Consider the following 18,519-nt stretch of genomic DNA (forward strand, 5'->3'; position numbering starts at 1 on the left):
CTACACACTGCGTAGCACCTTTCTCACTTACGTTCTGTCTGGGCACACTTCTGATTGACACGCAGAGGGCTCTCTCTGTCTGGGGATATTTCTGATGGGTACCGAGAGAGCTTCCTCTATCTTGGGTTATTTCTGATGCGTAGAGAAGGGCTGCCTCTGTCCATTATGGAAGGCTGGTGTTCACTGCAGGGATTCCACACTTCATTTAACCAGAGTCCCCGTGGACGGACACTTGGGTTGTTTTCAATCTTTCCCTCTTTCATACACACGCAGGAACATTTGTAGGATAAAGTCCAGATGTAGAATTGCTGAAGACAAAACAAAACGAAAACAGCAGATGCATTTGTAATTTTGAATATTGCCAAATTTCTCTTCAAAAATCTGTAGCCATTTTTTCTCCCACCAGCAATGTAAGAGAGGGCCACGTTCCAGCTACCATAACACCACAATTAGGAATTTTTGACAATCTGACAGGTGGAAAAAGGTAGCTCACTGTAGATTATTTTGCAGTTCTCTTACTATGACAAATTAATATAAATGACGTGATGTTAATGTGGTGTATAAGATCACCAAATTGTTCACCGCTTCATTGTTTACTTAAATGCTAATTTGGTGGTTATGACGTAGACAAACATAGAGTATGCTCCTTGCAGTCATGTAAACATGGTAAGAGTTCTTGCCAAAGGACGAAGCAAACGTTCCAGAGCTTATGTTGTTCAAGCTTGGTAGTGGCTCAGTGTGGCAGACATACTGGCTGTCCAGCCTTCTCCCTGTGTGTTATGGACATAAATTTGGGGTACAAGTGGCCTCATCTCCAGTTCCAGGGGTGGATCCTGATTCCTACACATTCCCTGATGGAATCGCATCCTCGTTGCCCTGGGAATCAGTTCCTGGCAGTGCAGGCCAAGGCAGTGGGCACACGCCTTCACCCCACCAGAGTGACTGGCTCAGAGTCAGCAACCTGAGCAAAGGTTGAGAATTTGGATGTTGTGTCGGAATAAATGCTTTCTCTTTCCCTTCCATGTGAATGAGGAAGTGTTGGCCCTGGAAGTGGTGGCACTTATCATGAGAAGCTGCCGGAGGTCACTGATGCCCAGGTAGAGGGGCTGAGGTCTGCACCAACTCTGGGCTTCCCTCTTCCACAGCAATGGCCCCTTTCATTTTAAGCCATGCATTTCCTACCACCTGCAGTGGAACGTCCTGTGTGCCAGGACTCGGGTTATTGATCACAACCCTGAGTCAATGAAATGTAATTGACTTTTATTAGGCATGCATTTTACCATAGTGTTCTATGGGACACAGTTTTGTGTTTTCCAATTTTAAAAGTTGGAAATGTTCTTGAATAGTTTTGATCCTAAAGCCTCAGAGAAAGTCTGTCTGTGACCCGCTCCAGAGCTGCCTCACTTTCTGACATGAGCGGTGCTCTTGGACAGCCGGCAACGAAGCCACGCTTGTGAAGGACGCAGCGGTTCTCACCTGTGGCACCCGGGGCACCAGTGGCTGGCCACTGCCCTACACTCTAAAGAGGGAAACTAAACTTTGGACTGAGAATTATATATTTAAGAAAGCCTTCAGAAATAATACATTTACATTATACATGACTCATTTATGGCCTTACCTGTGGTCCTGCCTCATGAAAGCATCAGAGGAAACGTTCCCCATTTGCTAAGGGGCATGTCTCCATCTCGCCTGTTCGGGTCCACTTCTCCCTTCATCCTCGCTTTGTTCTGTGATTTTCCGCTCCCTTCACAGGTCTCACTCAGAATGGGTCTTTCCCAGGCCGGGTGCGGTGGTTCACGCCTGTAATCCCAGCACTTTGGGAAGCCGAGGCGGGCGGATCACGAGGTCAGGAGATCGAGACCATCCTGGCCAACATAGTGAAACGCCGTCTCTACTAAAACACACAAAATTAACCAGGCGTGGTGGTGGCACCTGTAGTCCCAGCTGCTCAAGAGGCTGAGCACGGGAATCGCTTGAACCCGGGAGGCCGAGGTTGCAGTGAGCCGAGATCGTGCCACTGCACTCCAGCCTGGGCCACTGCACTCCAGCCTGGGCAACAGAGTGAGACTCCATCTCAAAAAAAAAAAAAAAAAAAAAAAAAGGAAAAAATAGAATGCATCTTTCCCTTTGCTCGTGTGAGAGGATTTTCAACATCCCAGCCCGCAGCATCCCAGAGCTCAGGTGTAGGGAATTTCCCGACTGCACGGACGCTCTGCCGGCCCCATGTGGTCAGGGCAATCCTCTCTTTGAATGTCCTTTCCACAAGATGTCTGTGAGGCCACCTGTCACCTGGGAGGGCTTCCCTTTGTCCAGGCAGAGGTGGTGGCCACAGCATCACGGCTTCCCAGTGCGCCCTGTGAGCCCCACCCCAACTCTCCCGCCTGCTTCCCGCCTGTTGTATGCACGCGTGTTCATTAACCACAGCAGGCCAAGCTTCTTTCAGGAGAACATTTCTTCCTTTTCCAAGGCAATCCCACAAACTAAAAATAACTGTTTAGAGCAATTCTTCAATGAGGAATGTCCGTGTGTGTGTGTGTGTCTGTGTGTGTCCGTGTGTGTGTGTGTGTGTGTGTGTTTGAGAGAAAGAGAGAGAGAGAATGAAAATGAAAACAGGCCGGGCACGGTGGCTCACGCCTGTAATCCCAGCACTTTGGGAGGCTGAGGCGGGCGGATCACAAGGTCAGGAGATCGAGACCACCCTGGCTAACATGGTGAAACCCCATCTCTACTAAAAATACAAAAAATTAGCCAGGCGTGGTGGCGGGTGCCTGTAGTCCCAGCTACTCGGGAGGCTGAGGCAGGAGAATGGTGTGAACCCGGGAGTCAGAGCCTGGGCGACAGAGCAAGACTCCGTCTCAAAAAAAAAAAAAAAAAGAAAGAAAATGAAAACGACCATTTCTGATACCTGTAATGCTTACGCACTCCAGCTTCACTGCCTGTCTGGTCCCTGGGTTTCCTCATCTTCAGATGCTGTGTTACTTTCCTCTGGATTCTGTAACAAATTACCACAACCCACCAGGGTGGCTGAATAGCCCAGATTTCTCCCCGTGGCTCTGGAGGCTGTAATGCTGGAATCTCGGTGTTGGCAGAACTCGGCTCCCTTCGAGGCCTTAGGAAGGACCCTGCCTTGCCTCTTCCTCGTTCCTCGGCTGCCTCCTTCTCCACGTGGGCCTCTCCCACATTTCTTATCCCTTTCTTGTAAGTAAACTAGTAATATTGGTTAAGAACCCAAACTGCTGTATACGGTATGTACTATATGCGGCACACAGTACATAGCTTACTGTCATTTTCCATTTAATTCTAACTTTCAGAGAAAAGACTATATTCAAAATGCCTCCCACAGTAACGGGCACACATAGTGCTCAACAAACTAGTTCCCTCTCTTTTGCCTTGGGGTATCCGGCAACTGTCTTACAAATGTAACAGTGTATGGTGGACCTACTGATGGAGAGACTTGTTCGTGTATGTGTTTGTCTTACCTCATCTACCCAGAGAGGTGTCAAAATGTATCTTATATGTACGGATGCAGCTTTTCTGCTGCACCCAGCACTCCCCAGGAAACATGAGCACGCTTTGTAACCACCGGTAACTTTCAAATGCTGTGCACAGGTAGAGATTTTCACAGGCTGTGGTGACTGCGTGGGTTCCTTCCATGCTCAGACACTGTCAAAACGGCAGTCAGAATGACTCCCATGAGCTTGGTTGGGAAGGCACCTTTACAAACAATACAGACTAGAAAACCTTTGTCATCCCACGGAAAACACTATCAAACACAACACAGAAGTATGGGTTTTGCGGTTTAGAGGGTTTTTCGATAAGTTTCTGCTGCCACCAACGGAAATAATTATCTTCACTATTAGAACGAGAAAGCAGTAAAGAAAGAATCAAGACAAAAAGTGACTTTCTCAGAAATATTTATATACTTGAGCAAATTAATATTTGATTTGGGTGAATCTGAATGTATTTCTCCGGTAATCGCTTCATTAAAAATAAAACTGTGGGCTGGGCATGGTGGCTCACGCCTGTAATCTCAGCACTTTGGGAGGCCGAGACGGGTGGATCATGAGGTCAAGAGATCAAGACCATCCTGGCCAATATGGTGAAACCCCGTCTCTACTAAAATACAAAAAATTAGCGGGGCGTGGTGGTGTGTGCCTGTAGTCGCAGCTACTTGGGAGGCTGAGACAGGAGAATCGCTTGAACCCAGGAGGCAGAGGTAGCAGTGAGCCGAGATCGCACCACTGCACTCCAGCCTGGCAACAGAGTGAGATTCTGTCTCAAAAATAAATAAATAAATAAATAAATAAATAAATAAATAAATAAGCTGTTTCGCAGAAACAGAAAACGAAATGCCGCATGTTCTCACTTCTAAGTGGGAGCTGAACGTTGGGTACTCATGGACATCAAGACGGGAACGTCGTCTCATCTCCAGCAGCTTCCAGCCCAGCACTGGGGATTCTAAAAGGGAAGAGGAAGGGAGGGGCCAAAGGCTGAAAAGCTACCTATTGCGTGTTATGTTCTCTGCCTGGGCAGTGGGATCAGCAGAAGGTCAAACCTCAGTGTTACACAATGCAATGAACCTGCATGCGCACGCCCAGAATCTAAAATAAAAATAAAATAAATAAATAGAAAAAATAAAGGCATTAAAAATAATTTTTCAGCTATATATATATATATATATTTCATCGTGTTTGTGATTTGGCAAGAAAAATCAAGAGAGGTCTATTTTTCAGATTTGAAAGTTAGTTTTTCTTTATTCAGATTCCGTTTTATAAATGAGTAATTTGTGATGTGATGGGCAGCCTTTAACATTTTAACTGACAATCAGTAGATGGATTTATCATCATGTTTATGGCTGTGCTGGTGTCTGTAAAAATAGTATACAGATAATTTTTTTTTTGAGACAGAGTCTCACTCTGTCACCCAGGCTGGAGTGCGGTGGCACAATCTAGGCTCACTGCAACTTCCACCTCCCGGGTTCAAGCGATTCTCCTGCCTCAGCTTCTCAGGTAGCTAGGATTACAGGTGCACTCCACCATGCCCAGCTAATTATTTTTTTGTATTTTTAGTAGAAACGGGGTTTCACCGTGTTAGCCAGGATGGTCGGCTTCCGGTGTTGTTTCAGCATATGGCTAAATTAAAGGCTTAGATTCTCAGTTTGCTCATTCTAATTTAGCTGAATTCTGAGTATTATGCATTTGTATCTGAGGTTCCAGGCCTCTCCCTCCTCCTTCTCGGGGTATTAAAACTCATGTTGCCAGGTGCATGACTGTAGTCCCAGCTACTCAACAGGCTGAAGCAGGAGGATGGCTGGGGCCAGGAGTTTGAGACCAGCCTAGGCAACATATTGAGACCCCATCTCAAAACAACAACAACCAACAAAATAAAAATTAAAAAAACACCTCATGTGAAGAGAGATCTCTCTGCTACCCTTGAAGATCAGAATAACATAAGTTCAAAGTTTCTCTGGTATCCAGTGAAATCTGCTCCTTCGGTTTTTTTGCATTGACCAAATTGCTAATGGTGAGGAAGTAACGAGACCAATGGAAGATGTTATTTGGCACATTAATTATTGGGGACCCATAAGCTGTTAGAGGTGAAAGAGACTTCAGCAATCATTCCATAGAAATGAAGCTCCAGGCGGGGCTGTGACCTCTCCCCGCTCACACGGCCTGTGAGGGTGGACGCTGAGCCCAGGAAATGTAGGTCTCCTGTGCCTCAGTCCTTCAGGGGCCAATTTAAATGAGAAGGGAAGTTGGATGGTAGAGTTCATGGAATAGCAGTTCCTCTGTCAGGCCTGTGTTTCTCTTTGCTGCCACTAACATATAAGAAAGAAACATGTTTCTGAGATGCCACAGTTATCACTTAAAGGCACTTTTCATTGTATTGCTGTCGGTCTGTGCTCACTGCTGACAGCAATGGCAGGCTGCCATCCTTGGAGTGAGGACCTGTGCTTCTACTTCCTGCTTCCTCTGAACCCCAGCAGCTGCCAGCACAGCGTCTAGGAGTAGTGGCTGTGGACATAATTAGGAGTTTCTTGAGCAGCCTAGTTAACAGCCCCACAGAGGGCATGATCATATAAGAACGTCACTCATGTCATTATCATTTAATTCTATCCGAAAAGAGTTAAAATCAACATTCTGGAGTTAAGTGAACAGCTTGTTAAATGAATAACATAGACATAAAATCCAGTGGGTCCAACAAGCAGTGATTACTATAGTTAATAATAATAATATCATCTTGATGAACAAGAACAGGAAAGAGAATACAGATAAGACTATCGCCATATTCACGTCTTTTGGGATCTTGCTATGTGCTCTGCATCATGCAGTGGGCTTTCCTTCTCACCAGCACTGTGCAAGTAGGATATTATTATTATTCCCTTTATAACATAATCCACGTGTTTTACAAGTGGAAAAGAAAGACAAGACAAACCTGCTGGTAAATATTTTGAACCCAATTCTCCATTTCCCCACTAGATGGCACTTTTATACCTCTCTTTGTTCCATTTTAAACTCACAGCAGATGGGCAGAGCGCACTTAATTTATGGTAAGTTTAAACAAATCCTATGTATATATAATATCTGGGAACTTTAAATCAAATAAACGGCTTCCATTCAAATATGCTTTCCTTTTCAAATATAACACTTGTAAATATCTGGTCCCCGGACAGCAGGTTCGCCTGTCCACCAGATGCTCCAGGACGGCGCTGGGCCCTTGCTCCTGCGCTGACCGCCCAGCCCGAGCCCCGGGGCCAGGTCCACGGTGCCCACGCGCGCTGTGTTCTGCTGGGGTCCGGCTTAGGGCTGCTTCGGCCCTCGGCGGCTTCCTCTGCGCTGTTGCTGCCCTCCCCACACCCCTACCCCTGCTCACTCAGCTCCTTCACCTCTTCCCTGATGAACTGGGGAACAGTATCCCCAACCTTGATCCCGCAATGTATTGTTAAGGCTGTGTTGTATTTTTAAAACAAACAAACATAAACATTTGAATGCTGAAGGCTTAGTGATAATAAAAATAGTCTACCCACCCCCCCACATCACATCACAACACACACACGACACATGCACATATAAAACACACATTCACACACGAAACACACATAAAACACATTCACACACATGAAACACACAAAACACACACAAAAAACATGCACACAACACATAAAATACACACAAAACACACATGAAACAAGCACACAGCACACAAAATACACACATGAAACGCACATACATATGAAACACGCAAACACACACATGAACTACACACATAAAACACACAGAGATACATGAAACACGCACGCAACGCACAAAATACATAAAACACAGATGCACACACACATACACATGGAACACGCACACAAAACACACACATGAAATACACACAGAACACACACATGAAAGACACAGGAAACACACACACACACACGGAAGGCACACACACATCGGGAAGCGGCGATGGTCACGCTCACTCCAAGACCCCAGCTCCCCGCGGAGGCCTCCCGGGCCGGTGTTCGCTGCCAGCCAAACCTAAGCCCGCTCCTCGCGGGGCCCGCGGGGCACCCCCAGGTTCTGTGCAGCTGAAGCTTGTACCATTTTGTGACTGTGACACAGGAAGCCTCCTAGGGACAAACTTCGGTCAGCATTTGAATCAGCCCTGACTCGGTGACAGTGTCTCATAAACGGGTCAGCTGGTTAGGGACTTGGAAAGAGAGCGGGGAAACGGGTGAGCAGAAAGCCTGGGGAACGGAGCCCAGCGGCGCCAAGTCGCCCCGGCGTCCACCTGCGCCCACCAGAGAGCGCCGGGCCCCCGCGAGCGGAACCTCGAACCGCAGCCTCCGGAGGGCTGGGCCCGGCCTGAAGCTTACACGCACTCCCTTCTCAGTCCCACTTTTGCCCTGTCTTCACCTTGGAGCCCCCGAGTTTCCAAAAGATACTGGAATCCAGTCTCAGCCTGAGCACCCTATAGCAAAGTTAGGAGTCAGCCCCACTAACTGGAGGTAAGTGGATCATGTGGGAGGCCCAGGTGTGCAGAGCCCCTGAAAAGTTACAGCGTCTCCACCTGGGCGTGGAGATCTGGGCCACCCCAGCCCCGCTGGGCATCGCAGGAATGGGCTTCCAGTGGCTCCTCAGTGTGGCCATTACACCATCAAACGAAAACCACCTCCCATGGAACATATCTATATAAAAAACAACAAAACAGACCCCTTCAGAAAGTGAGCTCAGATGACTCCCCTCTGCTAAGAGGTGCCTCCTGGGCAGGTATTTCTGTGGGTGCCACATACTTTTGGGGAAAATGAGCCCTTAGCAACTCATATTTTTATTCACAAATAAGCCATTAAACTGTTTATTGAAGGAAGAGGGTATGGTCTCTATTAGAAAATACAGAACAAACATTTACAAAAAAGTATTATTTTGGAATGAATTTCAGTTCAAGAGCTCCCTTTTAAAGTCACCCTAAGCATACCGGTTGCTACACAGGCAGGATTCAAAAATGCAAATATCAAAAATACTCAAAACTCTCAGAAACAAACCAGTGAAATTCATTGTCCTACTCATTATCCAATTTATCCAACAGTAATCATTACGATTGATTTCCAGGCCTGTAACTGCCTATTTTCATGGCCTGTAGAGAGGGGAGTATAGGGTGCAGGCAGGAGTGTCTGAAGGCATGGAAGTCTCTGCCTGGGCATTAACAAAATGAGTGGAAAAAGCAGACAATTGCATCTGCGGGCATTGATATCTCTTATCTGCACGTTAGACTTAGTTTTATGAGTAACTAAATTGAGTTGAGACTCTTAACTGATGTTCAGATTCACTGCCAGCACTCCCCACACATACCAGGAAACACCCTGTGTTCCAGTGGGCAGACCCATGCAAGCCCACCCCCAAAGCCTGGGGGTGCAGAGAGGCCGAGGAAAGAGGCTGACAAATCCAGACTCTCAGAAAGGAGCGTTGAATAGGGACTTATCCCACAGCTGCCCTCCAGAAAGCTTGCTTGCTTTTTCTTTCTTTCTTTTCTTTCTTTCTTTCTTTCTTTCTTTCTTTCTTTCTTTCTTTCTTTCTTTCTTTCTTTCTTTCTTTCTTTCTTTCTTTCTTTCTTTCATCTTTCTTTCTTTCTTTCTTCCTATCTTTCTTTTCTTTCTTTTTTGATATGGAGTCTCGCTCTGTCACCAGGCTAGACTGCAGTGACGCGATCTCAGCTCACTGCAACCTCCGCCTCCCGGGTTCAAGTGATTTGCACCAGCCTCCCGAGTAGCTGAGGCTATAGGCGCCCACCACCACACCCAGGTAATTCTTGTATTTTTAGTAGAGACGGGGTTTCACCATGTTGACCAGGATGGTCTCAATCTTTTGACCTCGTGATCCACCTACCTCGGCCTCCCAAAGTGCTAGGACTACAGGCATGAGCCACCGCACCTGGCCCAGAAAACGTTCTTTCTATAGCAAGCTTTTATAAGACTGATGCACCAGACCCTCTTGCAAAACTGCTGACCAGTGGGGAGGTTGAATAAGCATCTTTATAGGGGTCATCTATGCCCCAGGCACTGTTTGTTTATAGGGGTCGTCTATGCCCCAGGCATTGTTTGTTTGAAGGGGTTGTCTATGTCACAGGCATTGTTTCTGAGGAACTAATTGGTGAGCAGGGGTCCGACAGTCACTTCAAGATGGCCTTACTCTTGCCGTGCACTGATCTCGCCACTCAGAAAATGCTCAAAGGCCACTTTTTGGTGCACACAGGAAAGGTCTCTTCTATTCAGCTGAATCAAAACATTTGAAATTGGCTGTGTTTGTTTTCAGATCTGTTCAGGTCAATTTAACAATTATTGTAAAGAAGTAACTTACTTATAATTACATAAGCCCCAACCTGAAAGAATTCCCAATAACCAAAACTGGAATAACTTGAGTGACAGAATGAATAATCTAGCATTGGATTACATCTTAAAGTAAAAAATAAATATCCATGAGTTCATACTGATACAAAATGATTGAATGAACAAAATAATGAGAGAGAAGAGAGAAATCCGCTGTACAGGATTCCGGGTAAGTTACACCATTTCTCCTCTCTCAAGGATGTGGAGCTTAACCCTCTATCCCTTGCTTAGGGAGTAGAGCATGGATAGGAGTGAAAAGGTAATTTACAGAGGAGAAACAGGCTAGTTGATGAGGTAACATCATCAGTGGTAAGTCATCTTGATAGTGTGCACTGTTTAACAAGCAGATTTATTGATACATAATTCATATATACCCAAACTTCCATTTAAAATGACGATTCGGTGATTTTTAGTATATTCTCAGAGTAGTGTGATCATTAATCTAATTTTCTATCATCTTCATCACTCCCCCAAAGAAACCTCATACCTATGTGTAGATTTGCCTCTTCTGAACATTTTACATAAATGCAATCATACAACATGGGGTGTTTTGTGACCTGTTTCTTTCACTTTCACCTTGTTTTCAAGGAGGAACCATGTTCTAAAGCCTGTACTTCATTCCTTTTTATTGCCATATAATAAAAAGGAATTGCCCTTGTATAATTATACACATTTTATTTACCCATTCATCGATGGAAATGTGGGTTTTCTCACTTTTTGGCCATCATGAATAATGCTGCTATAAATATTCATGTATGAGTTTTTGTGTAGACACGTTTATCTTTCTGTTGAGTGTGTAGTACCCAGGAGCAGAATTTCTGGGTCATATGGGAACACTATGTTTCATATTTTGAAGAATGATGTTTTTGAAAGCAGCTACACCATTTTACATTCCCACCAGCAATGTCTGAAGCCTCCAATGTCACCACATCCTGGCTAACATCGATGATTCCGTCTTTTTGATTCTAAGCCCACCTTAGTGGGTGTGAAGTGGTATCTTATTGTGGTTTTGATTTGCATTTCCCCAAGGATTAATGATGTTGAGAACATCTTTATGTGTTTATCAGCCATTAGTACATCTTCTTTGGAGAAATATTTATTTACTTATTTTCTCCATTTTTAATTGGGGTATTTTCTTTTTATTACAAAGTTGTGAGTTCTTTACATATTCTGGATACTAGTCCTTGTTAGATACATGATTTGCAAATATTTTATGCCATACTATGGGTTATCTTTTCACTTTCTTGATGGTATTTTGTGAAATACAGAAGTATTTATTTTTGATGATGTCCAGTATATCTTATTTTTTCTTTTGTTGATTATAATCTTGAAGTTGTGTCTAAGGAACCACTGCCTAATCCAAGGGCACAAAGATTTAGTCCTGTGATTTCATCTAGGAGTTTTATAGATTTAGCAGTTACATCTAGCTGCATGACCCACTTTGAGTTAATTTTTGTGAGTGATGTGATACATGGGAGTCCAAATCCATCTTTTCCATGTGAATTCCAGTTGTCCCAGCACTGGAACCCTTGTCAAAACTCAATTGACCATAAATATGAGGGTTTGTATCTGGACTGTCAATGTTATTTCATTGCTCTATATGCCTGTCATCATGCCAGCTCCACACAATGTTGACTGCTGGAGATTTGCACTAAAGTTTGAAACTGGGCAACATGAGTCCTCCAAATGAATTATTCTTTTTTTAAATATTATTTTGGCTATTTTGAGTCCCTTGCATTTCTACATGAATTTTTGGATCAGCTAGGCTACTTCTGCAATAAAAGACAGCTGAGATTTTGATAAAGATCCATTTGTGGAGAGTAGCCATCTTAAAAATATTAAGTCTCCTGATCCATGAATGTAGAATATCTTTCCATTTATTTAGATTTTTAATTTGTTTCATATCTTTAGCATATAAATTTTGTACTTCTTTTGTTAAATGCATGCCTAGACATTTTATTTTTATGCTATTAAAATGCATTTTGTCCTTAACTTTCATTTTCGTATTATTTATTGATAGTGTATATAAATAAAATTATTTTTGTATATTGACCTTGTATGCTGCCTCATGCTGAAGTGGTTTGTTAGCTGTAGTGGTTTTTCTGTGGATTCCTTAGGATTTGTTTATATATATGATCATGTCATCTGAAAATGGAGATCGTTTTAACTGTTCCCTTTTTCTTTTTCTTTTATAATAGCCCTGGCTATAACATCTAGTGTGATGTTGAATAGAAGTGGCTAGAGTAGGCATTATTGTCTCGTTCTTGATATTAGGGAGAAAGCATTAGTTTCACTCCAGTAAATATGATGTTAGTTGTGGATTTTTCGTAGATGCTTCTAACCAAGACGTGAAAGTTTCCTCCTATGTCCAGTTTGCTAAAATTTTAATCAAGTTGAGGAAGTTTCCTCGTATGTATAGTTTGTTAAGCATTTTTATCATGAAAAGGTTTTAGATTTTGTAGATTACTTTCTTCCATCTATTGAGATGATGGCCATGATTTGTGCTGTATTCTGTGAATAGGATGCATTACACTGATAAGCTCTTGGATGTTAAACCGACCTTCCATCACCGTAATACATTCCACTTGGTCACAGTGTCTGATCTTTTAATATGTGATGCAATTAAGGTTGCTAATAATTTGTCAAGGATTTTTTTAGGCTATAAGGGTTATCACTGTGTGATTTTTTTTCTTGCTATGTCTTTGGTTTTAGTGTTAGGGTGACACTAGCTTTACAGCATGAGTGGGGAAGTGTGCTCTTCTGTTGTATGTTTTGGAAGAGTTTCTGAAGAATCAGTATTCATTCTTTGAATGTTTTGTAGAATTCACAGTGAACCCCTCTGGGCCTGGGATTTTCTCTGTTGAAGTCTTAAAATTCACAATTCAAGCATATCCATTTCTTCTTCAGTCAGTGTCAGTAGTTTGGGTTTTTCTGGGAATGTGTCCATTTCATCTGAGTAATTTGTGGCATGCACAATTCATAGTATTCCACTATAATGTTTTATAATTGTTCATAGTATTCCATTATAATCTTTTTTATTTCCATAAGGTCAATGCTGATGTCCTCTCTTCCATTCTGGATTTTATTAATTTGATTGTTCTCTCTCTCTTTTTCCTGGTAAGTGTCACTAAAGGTTTGTCGATTTTATTAATCTTTTCAAAGAATTCACATGTTTTTATTGATTTTTCTATTTACTCTTTCCTTTATGGCTACTGTAATCTCGTTTCCCTTTTAATGAACTTTTTTGACTATGCAACGACCAGTTCCGGTGGGTATATGACAGGGGAGCCCTGTCACAGCGCTACCCAGGACCCAGTTCCGGTGGGTATGACAGGGGAGGCCTGCCACAGTGTTGTCCAGGGCTTTGCAGATGGTTTGGAATTTCCCTATCAGTGCACTTGAACACCTTTATGGAGGTCTGTCCTGTGGCATAATTCAGATTCCAGAGCCACAGTAGAAGAGGTTTCACCAGATTTGTATTCACGTTGCTGAATCTCAGTCCACCCATCTCTAGCTGGAAATAGACTACAAAGTCCCTTTGTGATACTAACAGTGTATAGGCACTTACACTTTTGAAATTAGGCAATGTGAGTTCTCCAACTTAATTCTCTTTTTCCATATAATTTTGGCTATTCTTATTCTTATTTTACAGAGGAGAAGACTGAGGCACATAGAGGTTAAAAATTAGAGGAGAAGCGAGTAAGAAGTAGGCTAGAAAATCAAATCCATAGCATCTGCTCCTGAATCTACACCTTTCCCCACCACCTGAGGAATCAGCTAATAATGGCTTCCGAACTAAATCTGGCCTGCTGTCTTTGTAAATAAAGTTTTATTGGAACACAGCCATAACCATTCATTGACACATCACATATGGTGCTTTTGCTCTATAACAACAGAGTTGAGTAATCGAAGGGGCGATCCTGTGGTTCACAAAGCCTAAAATATTTACTACCTGGTGCTTTCCCAGAAAAGTGTGCTGATCCCAGCACTGCGCTGTACTGACTGCCATTATAATCATACATGCCTCAAGGCCATTTTGAAAACAAATAATGCAACTGATTATGCCTAGAAGAGTGTCTAGCACACACATAGACACATGTACACATAGACACATACACATGTATACACACACTTGTGTGTATATATAATATATATTAATATTATATATATAATATATATATGTGTGTGTGGGTGTGTGTGTATCAAGGTCCTTTTTCTGACAGTCTGCCTATCAGTAATTAATTGTATCCTAAATTATTTCTCTATTTTGGTTTTAGAGATTAGGTCATACCCGCTAGTCTGCTTTCCTTTCTCATTTTGGGTCTCATTTGAGCCCCATTCAGCTGTTCTCCATCACTAACATACAAGAAATGTCTGCCGAGGTTGTGAAGGATGAGGTCATGATTCACACTCGAAGGAGAAGAAAGGAAAGGCTGATTTCCGGAGTGAGACTCTGGTTTTTGGCAGAGCCAGTGACCTGAGCAGAATGAAATGACACTGTGAATTTTCATTCCAACAAAGAAGAAAGAAATCCAATTGAAAACTAGCTTTGACTAGATTTTGCTGCAAAATAGAAGATGATATTGAGCTAAATAATTCAAATTCTTATTCAGAACATAGAGAATGGGGGGGCATTCACTCTCTACCGTCAAGAGCCTGCTAAGGCGATTTCAGCTGCTCCACGCTCCCCTTGCTTCCAGCCTCCCACGTGGCCAGGCTGGAAAACTGCCACCACCTCCACATCCTACCCAGATCTCACCTGCTAGAGCACGGGCGGCAGGGATCCGCTCCCCAGCACATCAGTTTTGGTCCATCAGAAACAGAACATTAGAGAAGACTCTCAATATTGCTCATGTTAGAATAAAGCCAGCTTCTTTTCTATTAAAAAAATGCTTGTCCAACTCGCGTGAGGTTTGTCAGCGACGCAGAGGAGGGGCTTTTGTTGTTGCAGGGGTCATACTTTTCCATTTGTTTTTCCTCGTGGAATTTTCTCCAGCTCTCCCATTTAACACTGCGTGCCCCGCCCCAGCCTGGCCCCATGCAATGCTTTGGTGCTCCAGGGTTGCCGGTGGTCCTGCAGGGTCTGCAGTCACACAGGTCTCTCTCCTGGAGGCAGAGTCCCTGTGGGTCTCAGCCATGTTCTTGGTCAAATGCAGAAGTGAAAACAAAGCATTTCAATATTTATTGAATTACCCTATTTGCTAGCCTGCATTTTCATTTTCAATTTATTTTTACACATATTTGATACCTATCATGGGTTGGGTACAGAGCTAGGTTCCAAGAGGAAAACAGTAAGGAAAAAGCATTCCTGTTCCTGATAAGTAGTAATCTCTATTAAGAAAGTTCAATGAGGACAGAAAGAAATATCACAAATAATTGTAGTGCAAGCAGAATCATGTCGTTCCCAACTCTGCCCACGGAAGGGTCGCTGGGCTTCTCAAGGGCCTCTGGCCAGGATGTGGGATGTTACTGGAATAGACGTGCACCATTCTTTGATTCATTCATTCACTCACTCCCCACTTCACTTGCTTCTTATGCCCCGCCCAGCCAAGTTAAATCTCCTTCTGTCTCTCAAAAGTGTCAAACTGCTTCAATCTCTGGGGCACAGCATTTGTCATTGCTTCTGCCTGCCCCTTAATAACCATATCCACCTGCTTGTGTCTTTTAACTGAGTTATCAGTCACCTCCTCCATGAAGCTGTTGCAAGCTTTCTCAGGATGACGCCCCTCTTGCTGCATTGTTGCCTGGTCTGTGCCTCTGTGTAGAACTTGCCACATTGCATTATGGCCAGAGGCTTGTGTGTGTCCCCACTAACCCTGAGCTCATTGTTCTACCTACTCCCTGCACTTAACACAGTGTTTGGCTCCCTATAAATGCTGAATAAAGGTTGCTGATTATTGCATACAAGAATGTATTCAAAAATCTGCAGCATCAGATATTAATGCAACCAAAACAATAAGATCTTGGCTATTTTGCAGAGTCCATAGCTCTGAGAGCCAGGGGGAAAACAACATACATTGAATTCCTGTGTATTCTATTTGTTTTATGTATTGAGGCAGGTGTTTACATGTTCCAGAGAATAGTGGGGGTATAAAATTAGACATACCCTCAGCCAGCCTGTAGGAAGCTAACTATCAGCTAGGCGATTCCGTAAGATGAAACCACCTCTTGGGCAAATGTATATGGCCTTTGATTTAGAGGCTTCTAGAAATTCATTTGGCACTCCATAGACTAGACATTAGCACCAACTCTCAACATTTTATCTTATCTCAGACAATATTGCTTTAATTACTGCTAGAGCGGCATTGTCCAGTAGAACTTTCTGCAGTTATGGAAATATTATTTAATTGTGCTGTCCAGCGTCACTAGCCTCATGTGGCAGTTGAACACTTGTAAAGCGACTACTGCAACCAAGGAACTGAATTTGCTTTAATGAAATTTAAATTTAAATGGCCTCCCGTGTCTAGCGGCTATCGAATGAATGGCCTCCCGTGTCTAGCGGCTATCGTGTTGCACGGCACAGCTCTAGAGGCTTGGGCATATTATACCATCCTATCTATGTACACTAAACTTCGTGACTGTGGATGCTTGTGATGTAATAAGCTGGGCCCTGCAAGTTAAAATTATTTTTGACATGGAGGTAGCGTGTGATGAAGTGCATTGATGGTAGCTAGGGCTGCATTCAAACTTGTAGAGGCACTGAAACCCTCATGGTGCTCCTTTGGCCACTCCCTGCCTCTATGCTGTATGGAATTAAATAGATTTTTTAAATTTTACACACATACACACACACCCCCCCACACACACACGTTTAACAACAGCCTACAAAGAATAACAAAATCCAATAAAGTTTTAGTTTTTCCTGTGTTTTAGCTTTTTCCTCTTCAATGCATTTTTAAATTATCAAATATAAAATTCTTTAAGAGGCGAAGTGTTCCAGCTTTGCTAGTGCTCAAATCACCTGTGCCTGCCAGGCTAGACTGGCACTCTGGCACTGATACTGCTCAAGGCTGAGCAGAGAGCTGTGGAGTGAGGTTCACCAGACCGGGAAAGACTTCATCTCAAAATGCCTCTGGGGCCAGGGGTGGCGCGAGGAAAGAGGTTATAGAAAGCCAAGGTTCTGATTAAAATGGAAGTGGTTTCTAGAGAGGCTAATACAAACATCCATTTGTCATCTCTCAAACCCACAAAACTCCAAGGAACCATAGCTGTTCTCTCAAGTGGATTTCTTGTTTGCCAAAACTGTTTTTGGACAAACTTTACATGGAAGCCTGCCATAGAAATGAGAGGAAGGCAGGCTGCTGGGGAGGGCTGGAAGGAAGATTCAGCTTCATGCATTTACCTGGAAACAGAGGCCCTCTGAGGAGCCCCTGAGCACTTAGGAAATAAATTTAAAACCAGTGAAATTCACTACTTGTAGGAAAACAAATTCAGAAAGTTCCCTGAGTCAGCTATGGCAGGGCTTGGCTAAGAATGAGGTACTTGTGGCTTCAGTGTTAAGTGGACCTCCTGCTGCAGCCAAGCCTTCAGTACTGCAGTGTTCCAGCCCTGAGACTGGCCTGGACAGTGTCTAGCCGGGGCCTGAGGAGCCCACCCCGATAGGTCAGTGTGCAATGCTGGGGGCAAAGAAAAAAGAGCTCAGTGGCAGTCACAGCCCAACATAAAGCACAGCTTCAATTCTTCGTGAAATGTGACAGGGATGAGGGCACCTTGCTCCAACAAAGTCAGCCTATTGAGGGTAGGGAAGAGAGGGAGGGTTCAGAGAAAGAGGGGAGATGAGAGGAGAAAGAAACACTTCATTACATAATTTAACTATGTTCTGTGCAAATATCCAAAATATGAGTTAAAATATTTAAATCTGTTGTAGCCAAATCTGAGTTATTCGTCATTGCTATAGAAGATCATTTGCACAAAGCTTATGTTTCATGGATTCCAGTTTAAGGTTAGTCCAATCCTGTCCCCGACCTCATCCCAGCCCACTGTATCAGTTATAGTAAAAATCATTTTAAACTTTATCCCCAGGTCAGGTTCCCCAGACACACTGTAAGATGGAGACTTGCATGCAGGAGATTTGGGGACATGCAGTGGGGACCAATGCCTGCAAAGACGTTGTGCTGCAAGAGAGGGACTTGGGGACAGAGCCCCAGCCAACCCCAAAGGGTGCTCTGGAACTGGAGGGATCCAAGCGAGTTGTCCCAAACTAAAACAGGAGGTCTACCCTATTGCCCACTCCTGGCAAGGGAAGGAGGCGTGACCTTGGCTTGATCCTATCTGCTGAGGACCATTCCTGAAGAGAAACCCAGCTAGAAGCCATTGTCAGTCACTACAGCAGGAGAGATTCTGGCCTCAGTTCTGAGGGGGATCTGGGCAGTGCCACACAGTATCCACCATTTTTGGCTTCACGTGCCCCTGTGGGTATCTGACTCTGGCCACAGAACCAGCTGCTCACAATGGAAGAAATGTTGAGATACTTGGTTCCACACGCTCTCCTAACAGAAACCCAGGCTCAGAACAATGAAGCGAGTTGTCCTTGGGCGTGCCAATGGTTGTCAGACGTTCTTTTCCATCGGAATCACCTGGAGGGTTTGTTACTACTGGGCTCCATCCCTGGAGTTTCTGACTGGGTAGATTTGGGATGGAGAATTGGT

General features: G+C 43.8%; 1 long non-coding RNA gene across 1 annotated transcript in view; it reads right to left on the reverse strand.

The window, feature by feature from the left end:
* Positions 1-18,519, reverse strand: part of F11-AS1 (F11 antisense RNA 1) — a 214,961-nt gene that overhangs the window by 4,627 nt on the left and 191,815 nt on the right. The window contains exon 2 of the long non-coding RNA NR_033900.1: positions 32-308. This is a non-coding gene — a long non-coding RNA (F11 antisense RNA 1). The remainder of the gene's footprint in view (positions 1-31; positions 309-18,519) is intronic.

This window comes from Homo sapiens, chromosome 4, assembly GCF_000001405.40.
Source record: "Homo sapiens chromosome 4, GRCh38.p14 Primary Assembly".
Lineage (NCBI taxonomy): Eukaryota > Metazoa > Chordata > Mammalia > Primates > Hominidae > Homo > Homo sapiens.